This window comes from Homo sapiens, chromosome 2 (genome assembly GCF_000001405.40).
Source record: "Homo sapiens chromosome 2, GRCh38.p14 Primary Assembly".
Taxonomy (NCBI): domain Eukaryota; kingdom Metazoa; phylum Chordata; class Mammalia; order Primates; family Hominidae; genus Homo; species Homo sapiens.
The window spans coordinates 189,867,582-189,879,292 of record NC_000002.12 but is presented as its reverse complement, the minus strand read 5'-3'; the positions used below and the strand labels follow the sequence as shown (position 1 = coordinate 189,879,292).

At 37.9% G+C, this 11,711-nt stretch overlaps 1 protein-coding gene across 22 annotated transcripts in view; it reads right to left on the bottom strand.

Annotated features, from left to right (window-relative positions):
- Positions 1,664-11,711, bottom strand: part of PMS1 (PMS1 homolog 1, mismatch repair system component) — a 93,180-nt gene continuing 83,132 nt past the window's right edge. For 21 of the 22 annotated variants that reach the window (NR_110332.2, NM_001321047.2, XM_017004348.2 and 18 more), the window contains 3 exons: positions 11,364-11,494; positions 5,637-5,797; positions 1,664-2,021 (listed from right to left, as the gene is read on the bottom strand). Coding sequence is in view for 21 of the 22 variants with exons in the window: in NM_001321047.2 (NP_001307976.1) it covers positions 1,857-2,021; positions 5,637-5,797; positions 11,364-11,494 (457 nt within the window). In the remaining variant the exon portion in view is untranslated. Of the gene's footprint in view, positions 2,022-5,636; positions 5,798-11,363; positions 11,495-11,711 lie in introns of those variants that run through there. The other variant, XM_047444776.1, reaches the window with a different exon arrangement.

Below are 11,711 nucleotides of genomic sequence, written 5' to 3'. Positions count from 1 at the left end.
GCGGGACGTGGTGGCGGGTGGCGGGCGCCTGTAATCCCAGCTACTCGGGGGAGGCTGAGGCAGGAGAATCGTTTGAACCTGGGAGCCGGAGGTTGCAGGAAGCCAACGCCCCACTGCACTCTAGCTTGGGCGACAAAGCGAGACTCTTGTCTCAAAAAAAAAGTTGCATCCTAAAGTTGATTTACTCCAGCATTCGTTAAAGTGGTGTCAGGGAGTGTTTTATACTCCCTAACTACCTATGTTTAGTTGACCCAAATAACTCTTTAGGGCCCATTTCTCATGGCAGGCAGTATAATGGTGGTTAAGAACAGGAGCTCTGGGATTAGAATCTCAACAGTAACTACAAATTTAAATTCGCTGTGAACATTAAATGAGATTAGCCAAGGTAAGTGCTTAACCTGTCTAGCAAATAAGTGGTAAATACCTACTGCCATTCCTACCAACCTGCTTTGACACAATTCATAACTGGTGAGAAATGAGTTTCTTCATCTACAAGATAGTTGTAAGACCAGTACAGACTATATTGGCTAAAAAATGAGTCTACAGTTTTACTTACGGTGAGTGCAAATGTATGATGCAAATTTCATCTTTGATAGCTTCTGTGAGCCTCTCTTCCCTCAGTTTACCCAGTTAATTTAAAAGGATTACTCCCAGAAAGCTCTCCCAGAGCAGGACCTCACATTTATAAAAGGGGAAATGGAGAGTCAGGGGAAGCAGTATTTTGGGTCATGCAAAATAGGATGATATTGGCAGAAGAAAAGGCAGAATCCAGGTTTCACAATTTGTACTTAACACAAGGATCTTAGGAATTTAAAGATGATCTTTGAGAGTTATGGGAGATGGTGTGAGTGTGGGGACATCGTATCCAGAATAACATGTCTTATTTTACACAACAAATATGTTCATTAAAAATCATGTTTCAACTTTTTATAAAGGTATTTTGGTGCACTGTGGGACCTGGTTTTTGAAAGGGCATATGTACAATAGATAATTTTCACCTAATGGCCCGGTGTGGCGGCTCATACCTGTAATCCCAGCACTTTGGGAGGCTGAGGTGGATGGATCACCTGAGGTCAGGAGTTCGAGACCAGCCTGGCCAACATGGTGAAACCCCATCTCTACTAAAAATACAAAAATTAGCCAGGTGTGGGGTGGACGGCTGTAATCCCAGTTACGGGAGGCTGAGGCAAGAGAATCGCTTGAACCTGGGAAGTGGAGGTTGCAGTGAGCCAAGACTGTGCCATTGCACTCCAGCCTGGGTGACAAGAGCGAGAGTCTTAAAAAAAAAAAAATTCCCCTAAGTTTTCTGTTAAAAATCTAGGTCTTCCCATGTATTCCAACAAAAGTTGACCCCCAAATCCAATAATTACCATATAATAAAGAGACAGCAACATCTAATCTGTTACCCCCTAAATTGAAGTTAAAGGAAGGATTTCTGGTTTTCTTCTTCCTCTAAACTTCGTTTTCTCATTTTCTCCCACTCTGACTCTCCATTGTACTTTAAAAAATATTGACACTGTTTGTCAGATATGCCAGTATGTGTGATGTTTGATTTCTCCCTGCACAGAGGACCTAGTAAATAACCACCCAAAAATACTACCTATTTTCCAATTTTGAGCCTACAACTCATAATTATGATGATGGTTGGTTCTTGAGAATCAAATGAATAGTCTATATTAGTTTATTTACGTTTTCTACAATACGTGGAACTTTTTTCAATATAAAAACAAGTCAGTGAATCCTCATTTAAAAAATAACCATGTGACACATAATACAAAGATAATTTAAAACCAGACTCATGCTGTTTTATGACAGAACCAATTTCAATGGTAACTAATCTTCTTAAACATATTTAATCATGTAGTTTCTGGAAGATAGGTTAAATGATGAAAAAATGGGCGACCATGAACACACTCTTTAATTTCATTTCCAAACTGGTGCTTCATTCTGTAGATAATGTCTTGGATGTCCTCTTTTGATAAGTACATGGGTAATTGTCTGGATAGACGCACTGCTTCTCCCTGTCCAAAGGGAAAGTCACACATTTTACCATGATATACCCTGAAGCTGAAAACATGTTATCCTGGCAAAAAGGAAGACAGAATCTTGATTATTTTCATTTTATGAATTCACTCAACAAATATTTATTAAGTATCAACTATGTTGTCAGCTCTCGGGATGTAGTGGTGAACCAAAAAACAAGACTTGCTCTTGTGCAATTTACATTCTAGTGCAGAGAAACAGAAAACAGACAAAAGACAGAACATTTTAGTCAATAAATAATGCGTAAAATTAAACTGGGCCACATGATAGAGTGATTGTAGAGTTGGAAAAAGATTACTTGAGGAGATGACTTTAAGCTTGAATTTAAATAAGGAACCAGGCTGGGTGCAGTGGCTCAGGCCTGTAATCTCAACACTTTGGGAGACAAGGCAGGAGAACTGCTTGAGGCCAGGAGTTCGAGACCAGCCTGGGCAACACAGTGAGACCCAGTCTCCACAAAAAAAAAAAAAAAAAAAAAAGTGGGCACGGTGGGGCATGCCTGTAGTCCCAGCTACATGGGAGGCCGAGGCAGGAGGATCACTTGAGCCTGAAGGTCAAGACTGCAGTGAGCTGTGATCATGCCACTGCCCTCCAGCTTTTGAGCAAGACCTTGTCTCAAAATAAATAAATAAAAATTAATAAATAAGAAACCTTAATGGAAAGATCATGGGCAAAGAAAAGCATCTCACGCAGACAGAAGAGAAAGAACTAAATGTTCAGTGTGGGTGCATCATAGTTGTTAAAAAAAAGAGGAACAAGAAAAGGAAATTAGGCAGAGGCCAGATCACCCTCTAGGACAGGGTGAGGAATTGGTGTTTTGATTTACCCTTGGACAAATTCTACTGAGCATCGTTGAGTCATAAAACTGTCCTGGCTGGATCCAATACAAATGTTAACTCTTAAGATCCCTCAGTGACACCTGGAAATCTTCTTATTCCTCTCTAATTAACCTTCTCTTATAGTACCTACAGCTCTTATTTTCAGATCTTTGTTACTGTACTAAAATTACCAACTCCTTCCCACAACCCCTCCACTCTCAGCAGGTAACTTCTACTCTTTCACCACATATATCAACATGACTTCTCTCAAGTTCCCCTAAAATTTCACAGGTTCTAATGATTAAGAAATTTTTTTTTAAAGTTTACGTAAAAATATTATTTTCATTTTTCCCCTTTTCTGTTTTCTGCTCTTGATTCAGTTTCTTCTTTCTAAACCTTAAATTCATATCCTATCTTCCCTCTTGCCTTTTGGGGAACATTTCCCCTGCAATTTTTTTTTTTTTTTTTTTTTTTTTGAGACAGAGTCTAGCTCTATCGCCCAGGCTGGAGTGCAGTGTGCGTCCTCAGCTCACTCCAACTTCCACCTCCTGGGTTCAAGCAGTTCTCCTGCCTCACTCAGCCTCCTGAGTAGCTGGGATTACAGGTGCGCACCACCACACCTGGCTAAATTTTGTATTTTTGGTAGAGACGGGACTTCACCATGTTGGCCAGGCTAGTCTCAAACTCCTGATCTCAGGTGATTCACTCACCTCAGCCTCCCAAAGTGCTGGGATTACAGGCATGAGCCAGTAAGCCTGGCCTCCTCTGCAATTTTTTATTGTCAGTCTTCCACCAGTTCAACACAGACATGTTTAACATACTCTTTCCTTCCTTTCACTATTCACTATCATACGACTTGCTGCCTACTTTTCCACTACTACACTCTTTAACTACTGGCAAATGTCGTCTATTCCTACCACAGCAGACCCTTGAACAACACTGGTTTTAACTGTGTGGGTCCACTTATACATGGATGTTTTTCCGACCCCAACTGTGATAGAAAATACAGTACCATGGGATGCGAAATCCATATATACGGAGGGCCAACTTTTCATATATGTGGGTTCTGGAGGGCTGACTGCAGGACTTAAGCATGCCTGGATTTTAGTATCCACAGGTGGTGCTGGAACCAATCCACTGAGTATATACAAGGACAATTGTACTTTGCCATTACGATTCTCTTCAAGGTTACCAATGTCATCTAGTAGCCATATCTGATAGTCTTCTAGCAATTATTACCCTATACAGAACATGATACTACTTATTCTTAAATTTACTTCCTTCCTTGACTTTTACATCCACCCCTCTCTTGGTTCTCCTTTCACTTTCCTTTCTCTCTGATTCATCTTATTGACCTTAAATGGAAGCATCCCCGTGGTTTAAGTTCTCTCTTTTTTTTTCCTAGCCCATTTTTCTTAACACTTATACCACTATTACCTTAACATACTGAAAGGTAAAGTATTAGCAAAAAAATATTTAAAACCAGTCCCAATTTACTTTATTCCTGTTATTTCTGAACTCTTATTTCTCCCCACATGGTTCTTCCAACCCACAGCTCCCTCAACCTTTAAGTTCATACTAACTCTTTCACAAGAAAATATTCCCTTGAAGTCTCTAGAAACTATCAATGTTAAGCTACCCGCACAATAGGCTGGGAATTTCCACATGACAAAGTTCCTAAAGGATTCACAGAACATTACTGAATACATTCTTCAGAAGGTTTAACAAGCAGACTTTCCTGTTAAGGAAGTCCGACCTTCAGAATACAGCAGGCACACTACCAACTGTAAACAAAAATGGCTCATTTTTAAAAAGGGAGAAAAACTTCATTAGAGTTCAGGTTTGTTTTTTAAATAATACCAATCTTGAGGGATATCTAGAACAAGATATATAGATGGAAACACTATTGTTTTCCTGCTACTATCTTATATTTTAAAGTTTATAACCTTCCTTAATCCTTTTCTTTTAACCCACTCTTACATTTCTCTTTTGTGGTGAATACTGTCACAAAAATGAAAATTTCCGCTTATTCAAAGATTCCCATCTTTCACTTTCCTTCCCTTCTACTCCTCTTGATGAGATCAGGACTTAGAATTATATTACAATACTTTTTAGACAAGTATGTAATATAAAGGTAGCATTAGTTTAAACCCCTTCTGAGGGGATTATTTATGAAATGTTTTTAAAAAAGAACTTCACTGCAAAATATCTCATTTATAAAGTCTTTCCTCAATATGTACCCAAGAAAATGTTATGGTAAGAATCCATGATAGAGTTTACCACAGTCAGTCTATGATGTGAAACTTAATAGAGTGTTCTTTTTTTTTTTAATAGTGTTCTTCTTGCAAATACATAATAAAACTTACAGATAATATTCTACTATTTGGAAATAATTTACTATTTTAAGAAATAAGTATCTTAAAGTCTGGCCAATCTATAATACCTCTATATATAGAATCAGCAGCAGTCCCCAAGCTTTTTGGCACCAGGGACCGGTTTTGTGGAAGAGTTTTTCCAGTTGGCGGGTGGGGATGGTTTCAGGAAATTGTTCCACAAGAAGTGCACAACCTCGATCCCTCGCATACACAGTTCACAATAGGGTTTGTGCTTCCATGAGAATCTAATGCTGCCACTGATCTGACAGAAGGCAGAGCTCAGGTGGTGATGCCCGCTAGGAGGCCGCTCACCTCCTGCTGTGTGGCCTGGTTCCTAACCGGCTTGGCCCGGGAGTTGGGACCCCTGTATACAATAACATATATATAAAATAATGCGTACCTCTAAATAACTTATCACTTTGCGAGGTCTACATTCATAAACTTCCTTTGCATTTCTGTTTAATATAGCATTAAGAATTTCTTTTAAATCTGCTACTCCATAGAATGGGAGACAATTAGCCATTCCTTCTATTTCCAAGTAATTTTCAGTAATTGAAACTCCTGAAAGAAAAAAAATAAAAACACATAGTTAAGTTCATATTCCAGAACATGTCCATTAAAAACAAAAATTGCTGTTAAAACATTTAGTGAACCCTCATTCAAATTTAATACAGTCAGGACAAAGTTTTGTTCCTTAGTTGGAGAACAAATAGTAATTTCCCATAGGGTCTCACATTAAGTCATAAGTGCTCACTGACACCACATGTGCTTTATATAATTTAACTTAATCCCAGTTATTGCTGTTCTGTTCCTTAAATTTGTTTAGATCATTTCTTGCTTTGGAGAGAAAATGGAGTCCCATGATATTTATGAAAATAAAACTGGTTTAAGTGTTTTAACAACTGCTGCTCTTCAAATTCTACCCTACCATTTCAATATCTAAACGCCTGAATTATTTCTGTGATTTTAACTTACGAATTATAAAAGCAGTCACATAGTAATTTATGGAGATATTATTAATTAGAAGAAAATACTGTTTGTTCAAAATATTTTAATAGGACAAATAAAACTGACATGTTAACTGTTACTTAAATTACTCTTAGTAATTAAAATAAAACTAAATGGCTGGGCATAGTGGCTCACACCTGCAATCCTAGCACTTTGGGAGGCCGAGGCAGGCAGATCACAACATCAGGAGTTTGAGACCAGCCTGTCCAACATGGTGAGACCCTGTCTCTACCAAAAATACAAAAAAAATTAGACGAGTGTGGTGGTACGTGCCTGTAGTCCCAGCTACTAGGGAAGCTGAGATGGGAGGATCACTTGATCCCAGGAGGCACAGGTTGCAGTGAGCTGAGATCGTGCCACTGCACTCCAGCCTGGGCAACAGAGCAAGACTCCATCTCAAAAAATAAAATAAAATAAAATAAAACTAGAAACTAGCTAAAGGATTGGATGTATAACTGGGTACATAATCCATAACAGCACATATTTCAAAGCATCAGATTTGGCTTTAGAATGCATATTTTTGGAACATAGCAAAGATGTGTCTTCTTTGGCTGTATCGGTGTAACAGTGTTCTTTCATGAAGTCTACATAATGCTACCTGGAATTAAAGGAAAAGAGACAGTCCAATCTTGGATAAGTAGTAGCTATCAATGGATTAATTTAAAAAAAGAGATGTGATATAACTTGAAGAGTTTCAGATCCTGAGACTTCAATAATCCAATCCCTTACCTGTTCCCAATTACAGACTACATCCTTGACCTGGTTGGCAGATGCAATGCTGGTAGACTACAGAGATGGTATCCTAAACATTTTTCCCAGAGAACAACTGGAGAATAATATATAATATTATATTATCAAGCATTAAGGGATGAGATACAGAGTTCAATGAAGTGAGATGCTATGGTTTAGATGTGTGTCCCCTCCAAATCTAATGTTGAAATGTGACCTCTACTGTTAAAGGTGGGCCTAGTGGGAGGTGCATTGGGTCATGGGGCAGATCCATCATGAATGGCTTGGTGCCATCCCCATGGTAATGAGTGAGGTCTCTGTGGTAGTTCACACAACAGCTGGTTGTTTAAAAGAGCCTGGCATCTCTCTCTTGCTCCCTCTTTCACCATGTGACATGCTGGCTCCTTGTTGCCTTCTGCCATGATTGTAAGCTTCCTGAGACCCTTACCAGAAGCAGATGCTAGCACTATGCTTCATGTACAGCTTGCAGAACCATGAGCCAAATAAACCTCATTTCTTTATACATTACCTAGTCTCAAGTATTCTTTTATAGCAACACAAACAAACTAACACAGAAAATTAGTACTGAGGAGTGGGGCACTGCTATAAAGATAACTGAAGATGTAGAAGTGGTTTTGGAGCTGGGTAAGAGCAGAGGCTGGAAGAGTTTGAAAGCTCAGAAGATGACAGGAAGATGAGGGAAAGTTTAGAACTTCTTAGAAACTGGTTAAATGGTTGTGACTAAAATGCTGATAGAAATACGCAGAGTGAAAGGCTCACAAAGTCTCAGATGATATTGAGGAATTTATTGGAAACTGGAGTAAAGGTCATCCTTTTTATGTCCCCGCAAGGATTTTGGCTGCACTGTATCCATGCCGCAGGGCAAGCTTGTCTAACCTGTGGTCTGTGGGCCACATGTGGCCCAGAACAACTTTGAATGCAGCCCAACACAAATTTGTAAATTTTTTTAAACATCATGAGATTTTTTCTGCAATTTTTTTTTTTAAAGCTCATGAGCTATTATTAGTGTTAGTATATTTTATGTGTGGCCCAAGACAACTCTTCCAATGTGTCCCAGGGAAGCCAAAAGATTGGACACCTCTGCCCTTAGGATCGGTAGAAGTTTGAACTTAAGAGTGATGACCCAGGTCATCACTATTTAATTTCACTATCTAGCGAAAGAAGTTCCTAAGCAGCAAATCATTCAAGAAGTGGCATGGCTACCATCAGAGCAAAGAAATGACTTAAACTTGGAACTTATATGTAAAAGGAAAGCAGACGCTGGCACTATGCTTCATGTACAGCTTGCAGAACCATGAGCCAAATAAACCTCTTTTCTTTGTAAGGAAGGCTTGTGGTCATTTCTTTTAGTCTCAGGTCTACCTGAGTCTTACACAGTCTCAGGTATTCCTTTATAGAAACACAAACGAACTAACAGTGGAAACGAAATGAGTTTGAGCAATAGGGGAAACGTAAATGAAACTCAAAACTGTGTGTGGTAGGCAAAAAGCAGTAGCAGAATATTCTAGTTCACATCTCTTTTAACTATTTATATAGATATGAAAATTGCCAAAAATATCAGTCTAAGTGATTTTTCACTATTGGTAGTTTTAAATCTTTTACAGTATGATTAGAATGAAAAGTCTAATACTAACTACATTTGCCCTGGAAAATGATACACATTTCACAGAATTACTAGTGGAAATGGGTAAAAGGTACTTGGCAACGAATAAGGAAATTGAGCAATATTTTAACTTCTGTGTTTGTAAAATTCAGATATGGAAAAGTTAGAGACATTGGAACTATGTAACAATAACCCTTGAAAAGTTTCCATAAAATACTGTGAAATGCTTACCAATTTTCAGGGAAAATACATCAAATGAGTAAGTGGTTTGACAAGTTTTCACTTCCTAAAATATGGAATTCTTATTGATGCAGGACAAAAAGCTATTCCTATTAGCATGCAAAGTTCTTAGAGTCACATTGAGAATCTTCTCTCTCAAAGCCAGATGTATTCCTTCTCTTTCAAATGTTTTTATCCTTATCCAAAGAAGTACTGTGACTACAGGCAAACTGTTGATTCAAAGTTAGTAAAATACAATACTCTCACACAAGACAGAACTGTTAAGAAAATACAACCTAATTAAAAAAATAAAAAAACAAAGAAATGAAGAAAGAAAACATAAATATCTTTAACTTGCTCTGTTATTGACAAGGGAAATAATGCTGATGATAATCTAAGTAAAGTTAATTCCAATCAAATCAAGTCAGTTTACAGGTGACTTAATCATTTTTGCATCTTTGATGCTATGGAAAGTATTAGGCATTCAATAAGATTTAAAAAAATACTACTTACAAGCTAAGAGCTGAAAGCATCTGTGAGATATAAACTTACTGGGTAGTTAAAAAAAAATGCTCTTGGAATTGAGTGGCAGGTAAGAAAGGACAGTTATCCTTAAAACAACAACAACCTGCAGTTTAACATCTTTTTTTTTTTTTTTTTAAGATGGAGTCTCACTCGGTCATGCAGGCTAGAGTGCAGTGGCGTGATCTTGGCTCACTGCAACCTCCACCTCCTGGGTTCAAGCGATTCTCCTGCCTCAGCCTCCCAAGTAGCTGGGATCATAGGCACCTGCCACATGCCCGGCTAATTTTTGTATTTTGTAGTAGAGACAGTATTTCGCCGTGTTGGCCAGGCTGGTCTTGAACCCCTGATCTCAGGTGATCCACCCACCTCGGCCTCCCAAAGTGCTAGGATTACAGGCATGAGCCACCGTGCCTGGCCTGTTTAATATCTTTCATGAAAAAAACCAGTACCTGCCACCAACGCCATATAATTAGAAAAACAGATTAAGTTGAGAATAAAACACATATACCCCCACCCATCCCTTGCTTCAAGTAAATTCACTTCACATAAATTTTAAGATGCCAGGGACCCTGAGCAAGAAATATTTCTAGGAAGACTAAAACAGATGACTGCAAGCCTGCTAAAGGGGGCTAATGGATGGTAAGAAAAGAGAATATGTGAGCATCTCCCATTGCCAAGTACCATGCTCACTGATTTAATTGTTACTTTGGTTAATGCTCACCAATACTTCCTGGAGTAAATATCTAAATTTTGACAGGAAGGCAATATAATAAATGAGTTAAGAGCTAGGCTTTAAAGGCAGATTGCCTAGGTTCAAATTCTGGTTTTACCAATAACTGTGTCCCCTTGAGCAAACTTAACTTCTGTGCCTCAATTTTTCCATCTGTAAAATGGGGACAGTAATAGAACCTACTTTACAAGGATATTAGGGAGATTAAATTAATACATTTAATACTTAGAATAGTGCCCTGTACATAATAATTATTCAATAATTATTAGTTGTTTTCAATGAAGACACAGTGAGGCCAGGTGACTTTCCCCAAAACACATTGTTTTTAAATGGCAGTGCTGGGATTTGGACTAATAGAATTGAGGTAGGAGGTAAGAAGCTTAGGTTAGGTATCCTTAAAAATCACAAAAATCAAGTAAAATTAGTTTATGTTTGGGACACCAAAGTATTTTCTGTATATACCCAGCTCCATGCTTTTGTACATTGTTTTTACTTATTTTCATATCTCAGTAAAGCATTCCTTTAAAAATCTTCAAACACTATTTTGGTCGAGCTCTGTTTTTCTATACTTTGGGCATGACAAGTTTAGAGGCAGGAAGGGAGACAGTGGAGTCCTTCCTCATGGTTCCAATGTACCTCTCTGATACCAGATGAAGAGAAAGTAACAGAAGATAGGGCAGAAGGCAGTTGAGTATGGAAACTATAAAGGAACAGAGAAGGGGCCAGCCAGGAAAACTGAAGTCTCTAGCCAGATGGATTTTCTTTTTTCTTTTTAAATCCACCCAATGAATTTCCATACTGAGCAAAGAGGGTTATCAGTCTTTTACCAAAGCCATGGAACCAAATCATCCATTCTCCATATAGTACAACTGCTGATGTTACACGTCTAATTGGCAAAACAAGCAAATGTTTTTTGAAAAGCAAAGATGTCCATTTTTGTTAGGCAATTCCAATATCCTACATGTTTGTGTTTTATCATTTAAAGGAGTATTTTAATAATTTAAACAAAGCAGGCAGTTTGAATATTGTGTCAAAGGATGACAAAAATTACAATAAAACTATTTGATTAGTTATGAAAATGCAAATGCAAAGCATTGGACTGAAAGAGATGCCAAACTTACTTGTTTCAGGCAGAGGTGATGTTTTGAAAAAAATGTTTTAACATAGCTGACACTGTACTTATAGTGAGACAAAAATATACCACCATATCTGTAAATCATGAAACCCAAATGTAACTCTTGGAACAAGACTAATTTTTCCACATCAGAAAATATTAAACCACACTATCATACCTGGTATCAATTTTATCTTGAAACCATTCGCTGTAAGACGAGGATCAGACAGGTAAGTTGATCCACTGTATCTTTGGTCATCTGCTGTCATTTTATATAAAACGTCTAAATAATGAGATCCATTAAAAAGACTGAAAAAGAAATTATGGCCCTTTAACTTATTAAAAACACAAAATAAGGGGGTTTACGGGAAAAAGTTAATCCTAGGGCCCTTTGACAAGTGTTATCATCATTAACCAAAATACAAAGGTATAAGTAGCCCTATGAGAAATCACTGTTTTACATTTCTGTTAATATTTTATTAAATACCTACTGCACACAGTATACAGAAAGAAGATAATCTGTCTT